This window comes from Homo sapiens, chromosome 5 (assembly GCF_000001405.40).
Source record: "Homo sapiens chromosome 5, GRCh38.p14 Primary Assembly".
Classification (NCBI taxonomy): Eukaryota; Metazoa; Chordata; class Mammalia; order Primates; family Hominidae; genus Homo; species Homo sapiens.
Window position 1 is genome coordinate 1595423 of NC_000005.10, and position 16066 is coordinate 1611488.

The 16066-nt window shown below is 48.7% G+C and overlaps 1 pseudogene across 1 annotated transcript in view, besides 2 other annotated features; it reads right to left on the reverse strand.

Moving 5' to 3' along the window:
* Positions 1–2134: 2134 nt before the first annotated feature.
* Positions 2135–16066, reverse strand: part of PDCD6P1 (PDCD6 pseudogene 1) — a 36449-nt pseudogene continuing 22517 nt past the window's right edge. The window contains exons 3-4 of the transcript NR_003713.1: positions 7269–7313; positions 2135–4405 (exon numbers count right to left, since the gene is read on the reverse strand). The product of NR_003713.1 is annotated as a PDCD6 pseudogene 1 (transcript). The remainder of the gene's footprint in view (positions 4406–7268; positions 7314–16066) is intronic.
* Positions 8134–8635: an enhancer, noted in NCBI's record as "H3K4me1 hESC enhancer chr5:1603671-1604172 (GRCh37/hg19 assembly coordinates)". NCBI's record gives its function as "activates a minimal SCP1, AML or CMV promoter by ChIP-STARR-seq in naive H9 embryonic stem cells {active_cell/tissue: H9 hESC(naive)}" and the evidence as "EXISTENCE:reporter gene assay evidence [ECO:0000049][PMID:30033119]".
* Positions 11914–12413: an enhancer, noted in NCBI's record as "H3K4me1 hESC enhancer chr5:1607451-1607950 (GRCh37/hg19 assembly coordinates)". NCBI's record gives its function as "activates a minimal SCP1, AML or CMV promoter by ChIP-STARR-seq in primed H9 embryonic stem cells {active_cell/tissue: H9 hESC(primed)}" and the evidence as "EXISTENCE:reporter gene assay evidence [ECO:0000049][PMID:30033119]".

The following is a 16066-nucleotide window of genomic DNA, read 5'->3' on the forward strand; positions in this document are numbered from 1 at the left end:
CCATAACTTTAGGATTATTTTCTTAGATTGTAGGCCCCAGACGTGGCCTTTATTGGCTTGCAGGGAATGAACGTAATAGCTCCTAGACTTTTTTTTGAAAGTTATGCAGTTTTAGTCCTGTGTTAATTACCTAATTTTGTTTTGTTTTGTTTGAGACAGAGTTTTGCTGTTGTTGCCCAGGTTGGAGTGCAATGGCGCGATCTCAGCTCACTGCAACCTCTGCCTCCAGGGTTCAAGAGATTCTCCTGTGGAGCTTGCAGTGAGCGGAGTTCGAGCCACTGCACTCCAGCCTGGGCAACAGAGCAAGACTGCCCCTCAAAAAACAAAGAGATTCTCTCGCCTCAGCCTCCCGAGTAGCTGGGACTACAGGCCCCCGCCACCACGCCCAGCTAGTTTTTGTATTTTTAGTAGAGACAGGGTTTCACCATATTGGCCAGACTGGTTTCAAACTCCTGACCTCAGGTGATCCACCTGCCTCAGCCTCCCGAAGTGCTGTGATTGCAGGCGTGAGCCACCGTGCCTGGCCTTAATTTTTTAATTCTATAATTACCACATGTAGGGGTGGGTTGCCCCTCCACACCTGTGGGTGTTTCTCGTAAGGTGGAACGAGAGACTTAGGAAAGAAAAAGACACAGAGACAAAGTATAGAGAAAGAAATAAGGGGACCCGGGGAACCAGCGTTCAGCATATGGAGGATCCCGCCAGCCTCTGAGTTCCCTTAGTATTTATTGATCATTCGTGGGTGTTTCTCCGAGAGCGGGATGTGTCAGGGTCACAAGACAATAGTGGGGAGAGGGTCAGCAGACAAACACGTGAACAAAGGTCTTTGCATCATAGACAATGTAAAGGATTAAGTGCTGTGCTTTTAGATATGCATACACATAAACATCTCAATGCTTTACAAAGCAGTATTGCTGCCCGCAGGTCCCACCTCCAGCCCTAAGGCGGTTTTTCCCTATCTCAGTAGATGGAGCATACAATCGGGTTTTATACCGAGACATTCCATTGCCCAGGGACGGGCAGGAGACAGATGCCTTCCTCTTGTCTCAACTGCAAGAGGCATGCCTTCCTCTTATACTAATCCTCCTCAGCACAGACCCTTCACGGGTGTCGGGCTGGGGGACGGTCAGGTCTTTCCCTTCCCACGAGGCCATATTTCAGACTATCACATGGGGAGAAACCTTGGACAATACCTGGCTTTCCTAGGCAGAGGTGCCTGTGGCCTTCCGCAGTTTTTGTGTCCCTGGGTACTTGAGATTAGGGAGTGGTGATGACTCTTAAGGAGAGTGCTGCCTTCAAGCATCTGTTTAACAAAGCACATCTTGCACCGCCCTTAATCCATTTAACTCTGAGTTGACACAGCACACGTTTCAGAGAGCACGGGGTTGGGGGTAAGGTTATAGATTAACAGAATCTCAAGGCAGAAGAATTTTTCTTAGTACAGAACAAAATGGAGTCTCCTATGTCTACTTCTTTCTACACAGACACAGTAACAATCTGATCTCTCTTGCTTTTCTCCACACCACAAACCCCTTAGTATTAAGCTCCAAGACATATTTTTGTCATATCTTTATTGCTTATAATTTTCTATCTTTAGATATTAAGTATTTGTTGAAAATCCCATGAAAAGCTTTCAGAAATTGGATTGCATTTCTTGCTTATTATACATCCCTTGACTATTTTGTAATTGTGTGTATTTGTGGAGGTCACATGTAAATAAACTTAAAGTGACTCTACTTTGTGAAAATGTGAAACTTCGTGTAGGTACTCAGTAAATCAGTAAATTCTTACTAACGTTAGCCCCCAGCCTAGCTATGGAGGGTGCATGCTGAGCCCGAAGCAGAGAGCTCTGTAATCTCTGCATTCATCACCACCATGAGGAGGCCTCAGAAGCTTCTAGCACTGTTTGCACCTTCCCCACATCACCCCTCCCTGCCTTCCTCACAGTCTTCCTTCTGATCAGAAGACCCTTTCCTTCTTTCTCTGCCTGTCAAAATGCTGCTCACTCTTCAAACCCTAGCTCATATGAAAGTGTCTGGTGTGAGCCCACTTTTATTGAGTTGATTCTGTATCTTTGATACAACTGTATGAGGGTTCTCCAGAGACACAACAAATAGAAGGGAGACGTAAGAAATTGGTTTAAAGGTTCAATTGCTAATCTCATCCAAAAACACCCTTACAGACACGCCCAGAAATAATGCTTAACCATGTATCTGAGCACCTCATGATGCCGTCAAGTTGACAAACAAAATTAACCATCGCAGCAGCCATACATTTAAATATATTTGTACCAGAGAACTTACCTGATTCTACCTGCACTTCAGATGCTTAAGACATGTCTGTTTTCTCCACTTTCCCCAACCAGATTGTGAGTCGCTTTCACCTAAGGTCTTGTTTTTTTTTCCTTTTTCTTTTTCTTTTTTTTTGAGACGGAGTCTCGTTCTGTCACCAGGCTGGAGTGCAGTGGCGCGACCTCGACTCACTGCAACCTTCACCTCCCAGGTTCAAGCGATTCTCCTGCCTCAGCCTCCCGAGTAGCTGGGACTACAGGTGCCCGCCACCATGCCCGGCTCTGGTCTAGTTTTTTTCTTCTTTGAATCCCGTAGGGCCTCAGTGCTGTGCAGCAAGCACATAGTTAAAACTGAAGAAAAATTTCTTGAATAAAAGTAGTTAACGTTTTTATTCTTTACTTCAAGGTATATCTCCATGAATAACCTAAATGATCCCCCAAATTGGAATATCCGGCCTAATTCCAGGGCGGATGGTGGTGATGGAAGCAGGTGGAATTATGCCCTGTTGGTTCCAATGCTGGGATTGGCTGCTTTTCGTAAGTCATGGTTTTCTTAAAATTAGTGTTTTCCAGGCTGAGAGTGTGGAGCCCCGGTGAGGGAGGCAGCATGGTGTGGGAGCCTGAAGGCCGTGACTTTGGGACCTGCCAGGGACAGCCGAGTTTTATCCCCTGCAGTGAACCGTGGGCAAATCACTTAAGCTCTGAGCCTCAGTCTTCCTGTTCACAGGAGATGGATAATCATACTTAACCTCAGCACACTGCAAGGATTAAGTCAGCCAAGGCGTTTAGAAGCATTTTGTGTGGGGTGGGTTTTAATAACTTAGTTCCCTCTGAAGGCTTTGCTGCTCTCAAGTCGGGGAGGAGGTTCCTTATTTCAGGTGCCCTCATAAGGACTGCTGGGGAACAAAACGGGTGTAAAGGAAACCAGTGGGCTGGGCGTGGTGGCTCATACCTGTAACCCCAGCACTCTGCGAGACCCAGGTGGGCAGATCGAGTGACCAGCCTGAGCAACACAGCAAAACCCCGTCTCTACAAAAAATACAAAAATTAGCGAGTCGTGGCGGTGCACACCTGTAGTCCCAGCTACTCAGGAGGCTGAGGTGGGAAGATCAGTGGAGCCTGGGAGGTCGAGGCTGCAGTGAGTGGAGATGGCACCACTTGCCCTCCAGCCTGAGAAACAGGGTTAAAAAAAAAAAAAGAAAACCAGTTTTGGAAAACCAGTGATGTTTAATGTTTAGGAAATCAGTCTTTGGGAGACTTCATCCATGAAATCTCTGCTTGGCCTGGCCAGAAATTCTCTCTAGTTTAGATTGACTTGGCACCACTTTGGGGAACTGTCAGTCACATGCAGACTTACATCCCCACCACACAATCAATTCACTGATGCAGAGGAGTGAGTTTTGTGTTTCTTCACATTCCATGGTTCTGGGCTGGCACTTAGGAACATGAGAAACTGAATAATTGAATGGAAGAAAGGCAAGACTGCCCTCTAGTTGTAGCGATACATTTTGTGTAGCGGCTTTTTATCTGCTTCGATGTCTCAGGTCAGAAGTTTTGCTGTAGAGGAAGAGGAGGCTGGTAAGAGCAGGTGGTTTTTATGATTCAGTGATCTGCGCAGTGCTTGCTTCTTGGTGAAAGACAGGGCAGGTCCACATCCAATCCTAAGGGGCTGCCATGTAAAAAGCTCATCCGCCTGCAGGCTTGGGAAAAAAACCCTTAACACTTGGAGAGGCTACTGTTGCCTGTGGCTAGGGTGAGTGGATTGGAAGGCTTAAAATTACTCTGACTAATGTAATAATTAATTGGCTTTGAGGCTGGGAGAGGCCCTGAAGTGACTCATTTTCCATTTGTTTTTCAGACTCATCTCAAGCTTTTATAGCCTTTCATGATAACTTTCACTTCTGAAATTCTTACCTTCCCTTCTTGGACTTTTGAAATGATGCTTTCTGTCCCTGAAAAGGGTTGAAGAATATTTTTTCTTCCTGGTTTTTTGCTGAGGTAGTGTGGTCAGAGATAACTGTTAACTTGGTGTTCTTGTAAGGATTCTCCAAAGGTGTGTTACGATGTGTTTGAGGTTCTATTGCACATAAGAGCGTAACCAGCCTTCAGTGTAGTCTAGAAGAAGAGGCAGACATATGAATACTTGATAAGCGCTATTGATTGATTGATGAGAGGCTAGTTTTGTCCTGATCACTCGCTTCATTTAGTATTATTATTATTATTATTATTTTTTTTTTTTTTTTGAGACAGTCTTGCCCTGTTGCCAGGCTGGAGTGCAGTGGCGCGATCTCGGCTTGCTACAACCTCCAACTCTCTGGTTCAAGTGATTCTCCTGCCTCAGCCTCCCGAGTAGCTGGGATTACAGGCACCCACCACCACGCCCAGCTAATTTTTGTATTTTTAGTAGAGGCGGGGTTTCACCATATGGGCCAGGATGGTCTCGATCTCCTGACCTTGTGATCTGCCTGCCTCGGCCTCCCAAAGTGCTGGGATTACAGGTGTGAGCCACCGTGCCCAGCCCATTTACTAGATTTTTACTTAACATAACATAGAAATGTGTGTAATTGTGCTTGCCTGAAAGAGCAGTCCCTGGAGAAATTCTTACCCTGAGTAGCTCCCAGGGGAGAATATTCAGTATTTCAGCACTCCAGAGGGCTTCTCTCTCTTCACACCTCCTCTGTCATTCTGCTTTCCCCCTTTTCTCTCGGTCTTCCTGATTGCCCTTTCCCCGTCTCTCTCTCCGTGCTTTTCCCATCTCTCCGTGCTTTCTCCCCTCTAGCGTTCCTGTACCTCCTGTTTCCTCCCCTGACCTAGAAAACATAGTTTTAGAGGTGAAAGGGACTGGTTGAGTTCACTGGGCCCAACTCAGTTTCTTTTACTTAACCATTTTATTTTGGGGTCATGTAAGTCTTATGCAGTTGTCATCAGCAATACAGAGAGCCCATGTACCCTCTACCTAGCTTTCCCCAATGGAAGCATCTGCAAAATGATAGTGCAGTGTCACAGCCAAGACATCTGCCAGGATGCGGTCAAGATACCCTAGCAGAGGCTGGAGGAAACATGTGCACCCCCTGTAAACACTTTTATTCATGTTTTCATTACTTATTTTTCTTAGTGTTAGTCAAAACTGTTGAAAACTAGGCATATTAAATCTTGCAACATTAAGTTTAAATATATTATTTGTACCTCATCAACATTACTTGTTGAGAAAGTCTAAGGTTAATTGGCAGTGTATTTGTAATAGTAGATAGAATAATGTCTGTTTTATAAACATTGACATCCTACATGTGTGAACCCCGAAAATCTGAGACAGGTCTCAGATTTTTTAGAAAGTTTATTTTGCCAAGTTTGAGGATGTGCACCCGGGATGCCTCCTCAGGAGGTCCTGACGACATGGGCCCAAGGTGGTCAGGGCACAGCTTGGTTTTATACACTTTAGGGAGACGTGAGGCATCAATCAATATGTGAAAGATGTGCATTGGTTCAGTCAGTCAGAAAGGTGAGAAGGCCAGACAGGGGGCTTCCAGGTCATAGGTAGGTAAGAGACAAATGGTTTCATTCTTTTGAGTTGCTGATTACCCTCTCCAGATGAGGCACTCAGATACGCATTTATCTCGGTGAGCAGACAGGTGACTTTGGATACAATTGGAGGCAGGTTTGCCCTCAGCAGCTCCCAGCTTGACTTTTCCCTTTAGCTTAGTGATTTTGGGTCCCCAAGATTGATTTTCCTTTCACGAGGTCTAACATGTTTTACTATGAGCATTAATTATTCATTGTGTATTTTATTGCACAAATAAGGCATAGATTTTTTAAAAATCGTCAACTCAGACACCTTACCACACACGGGCTCCACAAGGAACTCAGGGAATCCTCACAAGTCTAAAACACATGCATGGATGGGAGGTGAGGGAACGAGCCCCAGGCTGCTCTGGGAAACCTTGAGACACAATGCCATGGTCCCTGTGAGGCAGAACTGAACCCGGGATTCCATATTAAAGAGGCCTGAAGGGGGCCACACCTCCCAGCAAAGGAAGCCTTTCAGAAATCAAGTGGGGCGGGGATGGAAACCCGACTCTCCTCAACACCTGCCTCCCAGGCCTGCCTGCCCCTGGAGCTGCAGCTCCACCTGGCTACGGGGGATGGAGACACAGCACGACTCTCCTGAACACCTGCCTGCGCCTGGAGCCTCAGCTCACACCCCGGCTACCGTCTGGGCATGGGGGTGCACACCTGTAATCCCCACTTTTTGGGAGGCTGAGGCAGGAGGATTGCGTGAGCCCAGGAATTCCAGACCAGGCCTGGGCAACACAGGGACACCCTGTCTCTTAAAAGAAACAAACAAAAACCCAGCTGCCTATACAGCTGGGGAGACCCTGGACCCAAAGAAATGATGCAGACCCTCACATTAAGGCTACACATGAACCCACAAAACAAACAAAAATTACAGAAGCATCAAGGAAGTTGGTCACTCTGTGTGGGCTTGAGCAGGAAAAATATTTGGCTGTAGACCACCCTCCCAAGGACTTCAAACACAGTCAAGGAACTCCACGTCACAAATATCTAGCGCTTTTCAAAAAAGCATGTTCTTAAAACTGAAGACTATCATATGAAATATTTGAATAAAGAATGGAATCACAAAAATAAATAAGCAATGTCTATCAAAAACACCCAGATAAGATGTGAAAGTAACTAATAATTTAGAAATTTTAAATATATGTCATCTTTAGAATTAGAAACTGAAAGGACAGGTTACACCGTACATTAAAAATAAACAGAATCAAGAATAGAGCAAACATACACGGAGAGACGTGAAAAGGTACAGAGACGGGGGGAGAGGGATGAAAGGGCCGACGCTCATCTAAGTGGAATTCCAGAAGGGAGCAAAGTGATACGGACCCACAGACAAAGGAAACACAAGCGGGTACCCAAGCGGGTCGGATACAAAGCAGCCCAGGTTGGTCCGTCTGCCGATACTTACATATGATCGACCTGACAGTCACTGGATTAAAGGGAGTCCACGTGCCTGAAAACAAACAACAACAGGAGTTAAAGTAAAAGGAAAATCTTTCTGGGACACTGAGTTTGTGATCTATACCTGGAGGCACCAGGAAAAGCAGTGGGGGCTCTAGGGTAGTGGTTTTCTAGACACTCCAGGTGACGTGTCGGCTGCCATGACTCCTGGGAGGGGGCCAAAGCACTGCCTGGTGGGTTCACACCCTGCTGTGTGTGGGAGTCCTTTGTGGCCTCCCAGACCTCCAAGGCTGTCCACAGTCATCGCGGCTGGACATGCACTCTTATTTAACAGATAACCAAGAAATGGTTCTGTATCATTTTACACACGGAATTTTTCAAGGATGCAGTCACCAGCTAAGTTGAGAAGTTCGCACTTAGTTTTGTTAGAGAACTTCACGAATTCCCATTTCAGAAAATCCATCATCAAGGCCACCACTGCCTGCAGACACCTGAGCATAGCTTGGTCGCTGTGGCATTCACACTAATTCTACTGAAAGGTGCAAGTACCAGACCCCTTCCTTCCATTCTCCCTCAGTAATCATCCTAAAGCACGGTGAAGACATCCATCACACCACACTTCAAAAATTCCTGACAAATTACGGTCTGCGCTTTATACAATTTTCCTTGAAACTGAATAGGAAAGCTCTACTATCCTCAGACTCATCGTTGAATCTGATACCCTTGAGTACTCACAACCATTTATCAACTATGAGGATGAAGATTCACTGATGACCTTCACACACAAGAACCTATCTTCAGAGTGATTTGTACCTTCAGTAATTTCCATACTCACCAAAAATGAACTAAAAAAATATTTTTAAGGTCAGGAGAGACCAGTGGCTCTCCTCATACCCCATCTGTATTAGACACACAGTTTTTTTTTTTTTTAATATACACAAAAATGCCACAGTCCTGGGCAGCACACAGAGACAGCCCCCTGATCTCAGAGAACAATGTCAGGCTCCTGGTGGAGCACGGGCAGTGGGGTCTGCTGGCACGGTCCCTTAGGCCTCTACGTGCCACCACTCTGGGCTCATGGGGCTCTTCCTAGTGCCATGCCCGCTCTCACCTGAAGTGCGTCCCCTTCTAAGACACACACACCCTCCCTCCAGCTCCTTCCTTTCCTTCCTCAGGGAGACTTTCACGGGGGTACCACGTTCTCCCAGCCCAGAAGTTAAATCCATTTGCTCTGCCTGAGCACCTCCCAACTTCCCCTTGGGAAGATCCCACCCTCCAGCAGTTTTGCAGGGAAGCTGTGCTCTTCCCACAAAGGCAGGTGCACCTGAACCCGAGGCATACACACACAGCAGCACTGGATGACCCGCCCTCCAGCAGTTATGCAGGGAAGCTGTGCTCTCCCCACAAAAGCAGGTGCTCTCCCCACAAAGGCAGGTGCACCTGAACCCGCGGCCCATACACACAGCAGCACTCGATGACCCGCCCTCCAGCAGTTATGCAGGGAAGCTGTGCTCTCCCCACAAAGGCAGGTGCACCTGAACTCGAGGCATACACACACACAGAGCAGCACTCCACGACCCACCCTCCAGCAGTTATGCAGGGAAGCTGTGCTCTTCCCACAAAGGCAGGTGCACCTGAACCTGAGGCCCACACACACAGCAGCACTCGACGAGCATCTGTTAAGCTGAATAGAGTGATAATCTGCAGGATTACCTTTCTGTAGGCTTTACAGGTATCTGAAAGGAGAGTAGACAGGTATATGTACATAGAGGTATTCGGAAAGGTCGGAATTACTGAAAACTAGTGTTACAAAAAGCAAAGATGGGCTACAGAGAACCCACAAGGCAAAGAAAGAGGAAAACTCTAAACACCAAGGAGCATCCCTGCCTCACCCAATTCCATCTGGTCTCCCCCATTCTTCACCGCTGTGTGCAGCAACCTAGTGTCTGCACACAAGGGTGACCTGCTCTGACCCAGCGCTGACAAGAAGCCCCAGGAGCCAAAGCCCCTGGAAGCCTCCTGGGCAATCAATCCTCTGTCTTTATGCCATGAGCTTCTTCTCCTCTGTCTTCTGCGTCCGTGGCCCTGGACTGACTGTGTGGAGCTGGATGAGACCTAAGTCCTCAAGTGAAGGCTGCACTGTGACGTGTCCTGATCATAAGTAGAAGCTTCTCTGGGCCATCTCAGCAAATAACACGGTCAAACAAGTTTTAAACCAAAGCAACACAGGTTAAAACACAAGCGAGATGTTAATGCCACAGCACAGGCACAGGGAAGCTCAGGTGCCATCTGGACGGGCACGCATGGAGTGTGCCCAGATGGTGCATTCCTGAGAGCTGGGGCCCAGGAGGAACCGGACGGCCATACTGGGGTCTTCCGGAGTATTCTAAGGATTGCCCAGGAGAGCAGAGGTTGTCCCGGGATTAATCAAGGATGAGAGAGAGGCAGCCACCCCACCAGAAAGGGCCGCTGAGGGATGGACACTCCTGATGTCTCCACTCGCCTTCCTTGCCAACCACAGCGGGGTCTGGCTTCTCCACAGAAACCAAGAGAGAACCACCACAAGGCCTAACGGCCCATAACGAGCTGAAGCACCATGGCGCACAGGCATTTCACGCCTCGGTTACATTAGGTGCTAGACATACCTGGGCAACCGCCTGAAAACCTAAGTAGATGCTGTGCTTTGCCCAAGGCCATGGAGTCACTTGTCACCAAATCCCAAGCCTTCCCCTGAAGCCCTGCCAAGGTGAGTTTTTGGTGAAAGCACGAAAGACTGCATGGGGGTCCCTGAGACCACCCTCCAACTTGAAAGGGTACAGAGTAAACCAGCCAAGGGAAAGGGCTGCCAGGGAAGCCAGGCGCTTCCAGAGTCCCTCCCAGCGGAGTCACACAGGGTGCACCGGATTCCTCCAGCAAGAAGCTGGGACAGCTAGTGCCGTGGTGCGGACCAGGGAGGCTCTCCTGAACCTGGGGGTCAGTCAGGGAAGTTCCAGCCACCCACAGCGAAAGCAGGTGTTTGCCATCCATCACCTTGTTGGTCAACTACCCAGGCAAAGTAGTGCAACATGGCTCCAGTCTCTCTCATCAGTCAGAACACTGCAGGAGCTCAGCTCCCAGGAGCCAGCCAAGGGCCCCTCCTGGGAACGTGCAGGGTTTGAGCAATCCACACCCGCTGAGTTAAACCCTTCCCACATAGGCAGATCAAATCTGCTCCATCACCAGGGGCAACAAATACCATCACCCACATCCCTGGGCCCATGTGAGAGAAGGACAGTGATGGGAATGGACATGTACTTCACAGGGCACTGTCCTGCTTCTGAGGTCTGATTTTTCTCAGTTCTCTTTAATATGGGATCTCCAAGAGAGCCTCAACTGTATTTGATTAAAAAAAAAATACCGGCCGGGCGCAGGGGCTCACGCCTGTAATCCCAGCACTTTGGGAGACCAAGGTGGGTGGATCATGAGGTCAGGAGTTGAGACCAGCTTGACCAACATGGTGAAACCCCGTATCTACTGAAAATACAAAATTAGCCAGGTGTGGGGTGCATGCCTGTAATCCCAGCTACTCAGGAGGCTGAGGGAGGAGAATTGCTTGAACCCGGGAGGTGGAGGTTGCAGTGAGCCAAGATTGCGCCATTGCACTCCAGCCTGGGCGACAGAGTGAGACTCCATCTTAAAGAAAAAAAAAACCTTCAAAAGAATATAAAAATTATTTCTTAAAGTACAGCTTTAAAAATGCCCCTTAAAAATACATCAATGTTATATTAAGGCAAACCTACTTCAGAAGCACAGAGACCTTGAAAAAAGTTAATTTCTTGTAATTCCAAGATGTTTTGGGAATGAGAAATCAGCACAGAAAATGGGCTAGGAGGATAATGGATGAAACCCGATGGGCTGATCATGGTTCCAAGATGGTCTCGCCATGGAGGTGACAGGGTGAGTGCTGCAGTGCAGGACTGGGGATGCCACAGGAACGGGTGCCCCAGGTAGGGCGTCATCCAGGAAGGATGAGAAACCTGAGAACAGCTGGGTGGGAGCAGCTGGGGGGGAGCAGCTGGGGGAGAACAGCTGGGGGGAGCAGCTGGGTGGGAGCAGCTGGGTGGGAACAGCTGGGTGGGAGCAGCTGGGTGGGAGCAGCTGGGGGGAGTAGCTGGGGGGGAGCAGCTGAGGGGGAGCAGCTGGGGGGAGCAGCTGGGTGGGAGCAGCTAGGGGGGAGCAGCTGGGTGGGAGCAGCTGGGTGGGAGCAGCTAGGGGGGAGCAGCTGGGGGGAGTAGCTGGGTGGGAGCAGCTGAGGGGGAGCAGCTGGGTGTGAGCAGCTGAGTTGGAGCAGCTGGGGGGAGCAGCTGGGGGGGAGCAGCTAGGGGGGAGCAGCTGGGTGGGGGGCAGGGTCCGCTGGCTGCACGGGGGTGGGGAGAGGAGCCCATGAGGGCCTGAGAGCAGCGAGGCCGGGCGGAACCCTAATCCCTCATCTGCACATGACATGGGGCCTGCCGGAGCCCCACAGAGCTTGGAACGGAGCTGGGGAAGAGCGTTTGCCAGGCCTCCCGTCCCCTCCTTCTTCCCACTGGGATTGCTCTGAAGGAAGAAGAACCCATCAAGTCCTTGTAAATGTGCTGGGGAGAGAACCCCTGACAGTGCCTGGTGCTCACTCCTGGGGAGCCACTGTCTCGGGTGGTCCTGGTACCGTGAAGTTTCTGGGCTCAGGTCCACGGCACCTGGAAAATGTCGTGTTTAAGTGAAATGATATTCAAAGCCCAAGAGGAAATGTTCCAGGCACTTCTCAGAGACCCCATGAGGCAGGAAGGACAGTGGGGCTATGGGGGCCCCCAGCTTCTCCAGCTGGACCCGTGCCTGGGAATTACTCCCTGAAATCATGAGCAGAGCTGGATGCTGGGTCAGTTCTGTGTGCCTGGAAATTACTCCCTGATATCGATAGCAGAGCTGGACGCTGTGATCTGTGGGACTCTACCCTTAATGGCTTCATTTATTTACATGGATGTAACCGTACATTTGTCTATGTAAAGAAATAAATTTGTCATTTGTTAGATTCGCCTGCACTTGAGATATCTTTTTAAGAATATTTTCCTAGCCATTAAAGAACATGTCGATTTTCTTTTTTCATTTCCCTATTGCTATGTGACAAAAGGTCATATTCTATACTTTTTGTATTAAAGGACTTCAAATTACTGATACTTTGAATGACTTCTAAAGTCTTTGCCATATTCTGAATGAAGAATGTGAGCCCCAGGTTAAAAAGATCAACAATTAAATCACAGGGTGTGTGTTCACCAGGAGGCCTGGTGTCATTTTCTTGTGGGCCGTTTGCGATTGTCTGAGAGGGAAGATCTCGTGCTGTGTTCTCACCACGGGCACAGGCGCAAGGAAGCCCCCAGGAAGTGTGGAATTCCTCGATTGCTTTGATTTGGTGATGGTTTCATGGGTGTTTGCTCAGGTCAAGTCTCACCAAAGTGCACACATGAAATGCGTGCAGCTCTTTGAGTATCAATTATACCTCAAAAAAGCTGAAACACTTTTACACTTGAAATAATCGAAGTGACATTTTAATCTAAAGGTATACAAATCTATCGCCTACATGGCTGATTTTTCCATGAGAGTCTCATTTACAAGAGAAACACAATTATGAAATCAGTACCCTTTACTTTTAAAGGGTAACGGAAGAAGCATAAGTTTCTGTTAGGACAGCGCTTACGCTCTCCCCTATGTTTATTCTGTGGTTAACCACCATGGTAGATCCGCAGTGATTCAGGAAGATGAATTATCTGCAACACGCAGAAGTTCAGTCCTCTGGCATGTACGAATCCTGGTGTGGTTTTTGCACAACATTCTGCCTGGGATGCGTAGGGAGAAGCTGTGATAACAGGATCGGGATTCACTCATGCTTCATTCATCTGGGAGGCCTGCGACTGCCCGGCACAGTGTGGGCTGAGCCTCCAATGCCGAGCACCAGACACTCCACCCTCCTGAGGCACTTGTGCGGATGCAGGTGAGATGCCCAGACCAGCACGGTGTGCGTGGGGGGTCGGGCACCAGAGAACTTGAGATGAGATTCAACTGTGTGGATGGGTCTGGTGGAGGTGGTGGCTCCCGGGCTGGGGAGGCATAAAGATGAATCCCGGTGACCCTTGCCCTGAAAAGCTGCTATGTACATTTAGTAGAAGACTGTCGATGAAAACAGACTCTCAGAAGCAAAGAGGGGCCTCGACGGGCCCCCCCACCCATGTGCAATGCCAGTCTTACTCTCTCCACCCTCGAAGGGAGCATCCTCCTCACCTTTCTGGTCCACCTTCCCTTGCGTTGCCTGCAATTATCCACTGAATTCCTGCAGCCCCAAACAGTCTTTTTGATATGGACTACTTTGAGCTAGACATAAATCAATTAATTAGCAGCGTGTGTTTTTGCTGCTTCATCCACTCACACACTATCTGAGACCCATTCATGTTTCTGGGGGTCCCTCACTCGCCTTGCGCTGGCTGACTCCACTGACATCCACTGGGATGTCCTCATCCACCTGCAGTGAACAAGCATTTGGATCTCTTCCCACTTAGGTCTGTGCAAACAGTGACACCAGGTGCATCTGAAATATGCCACGTGCCCAGGTGCACGCGGGGCGTGAGCAGCTCCCTGACCCCTCTGTGGCGAGAGAGCAGAGGCCCAGGGTGAAGTGGGGAGGTGTGGGTGTGGGGCCAGGCTGGGGTGGGGGAGAGGACACTGGATTCTGGGCTTTATCTGAGGGCCGAGCAGCAGGTGTCATGGCAGATCAGATCTGGTGTTGAACTGGCCTGACTGTCCCATAGAACTGATGTTCATGGTTTCTCTGAATAACACAGAAATGGAGCCTTGTTGTCTTGAAACTTGAGAAAGTGACATTTGTCTTATTTGAGTTCCTTTCTTAGGAAACTGACCATCAGGCCTCCCGGGTAGTGTGAAGGAAGAGAGACTCACCAGATCACGCCATCTGGACAGTGAGATGCCAAACCCCTCACCCATCATGAGTGCCTGACCAGCCACCTGCCTCCTCCTGACCAACTCCTCTTCCTCACTCTCCCTAATTCCTGTTTTCCTTACACACAGTCACACTTCTTCCCTGCTATATAGTCAGTCAGGAAGATGGATTTGAAGCTGACCTCCCATCTCCTGGCCTGTAGCTTCTGATGCACGCCTTCTTCATTGGCAGTAACTATCGTCTTAGTGATTGGCTTTCTGTGTGGAGAGCAGCGGGATCTGGAACAAACCCCTGCATTCCGGGAACAGGGAGAGCAGCCTCAGCAGGCCCCGGGCCCTGAGTGCGGTCATGACCACCAGGGACCACCCACCGAAGGTGAATGTGGACAAGAAAAAAAGGCTCCTGAGGACCCAGCCAGAATTCCTGCAACATCACGGAGAATCATGGCCACCCGGCCCATGCCCCCTTGAAGGGCAGCTGCAAGATTCATCTCATTTGTCTTTCTTTCCTGGACATCTTCAAATTTCCTTCACCACAACCTTGTGATCCTGAGATTCCATCAAGATGTGCATTGTTTTACTATATTGCTTTAATTTACTCTGCCGGTTATCTGGAGAAATGCAACCTCATCAGCAGAAATTATTTCCACCCTGCCACTTTTTAAATGTTATTTCCTATAGCCAGGTACTGAGCCCTTCAATGGAGGTCTAAACCCTCCACTCTCTCCCTCTGGGATTGCCAAGCCTGTGGTTTCAGTTCCATGCTCCCAGGTAGATGATGTCAACTCAAAGTCCAACGGGCTTATGAAATACTTTTTGTGGTTTTTTTCTTAATTTTAAGAGTTTTTTTTTAATGTTTTTGTTTCATGGAGGTGACACCCTCTGTCTTTGACTTGCGGAAGCCTTCCACCTTCAGTCTGCGTGTACTGAAGCCAGTGTTTGCTGTACAGCCTCTCAGCCGCAGCAGCCCACAGTGAGGTGCAGGTGCTCACACCACTGCCCCAGAGAGCTCCTCCATTCGCCCCTCCACCCATAGCCCCTCGAAACCACTGCCCTGCTCCCCAACACGGTAGCACTGTCTTCTCCAAGATGTCATGCGGCGGCATCCCTCGGCCTGTGCGCACCGAAACTAGCTTCCTTCACCGGGCATATGGCCTGGGAGACCTGGGGCATTTGGGTGCATCCTTCCACTGCTGGTTGGTGCCCCCTGTGTGGAAGCATCCGCGTTGGTTCCCGCCTCCTCCTGCCGATGGACATTTTGTTTTCTTCCAGTTATTGGCAATGAGGAATGAGGCCTAAACACTTGTGTGCAGGTTTGTGCATGCATGTTTAAGTTTTCTCTTGGGGGACGTTTCAGGAGCGGGGTTGCTGGATGACAGGGTAAAGATGTGCTTAACTTCATAAGAAACTCCCGGACCACTTTCCAGCATGGCGGGACCCGTCCCATTCCCACTGCAGCTTATGAGGGTCCCAGTTCCTCGGCATCATCACTAGAACCTGGGTCGGCCTGTGGTTTTTGTCTGTTTTTAGCCATTTTAATAGATTTGCAGAGGTACTGTTGACTGGCATTTCTCCAGCATCTCTATGATGTTGAGCCTCTTTCTCGGGCAATATGCCCTCCTTATACCTTCTTTGATTCTCCATTCAAATATCTGCCCTCTCTTTAATACTGGGGTTTTTACTTTCTTATGGTTAAGTTTTGGTGGTTCTTCACATATCCTGCGTGCCAGTACGTTGTGAGACGTGTGATTCACAAATACTTTTTTCTAGACCATAGTTTGTGTTTCATTCTCTTTAGATTTTTATATTGCTTTATAGAATTATAATTTTAAATTTATGATT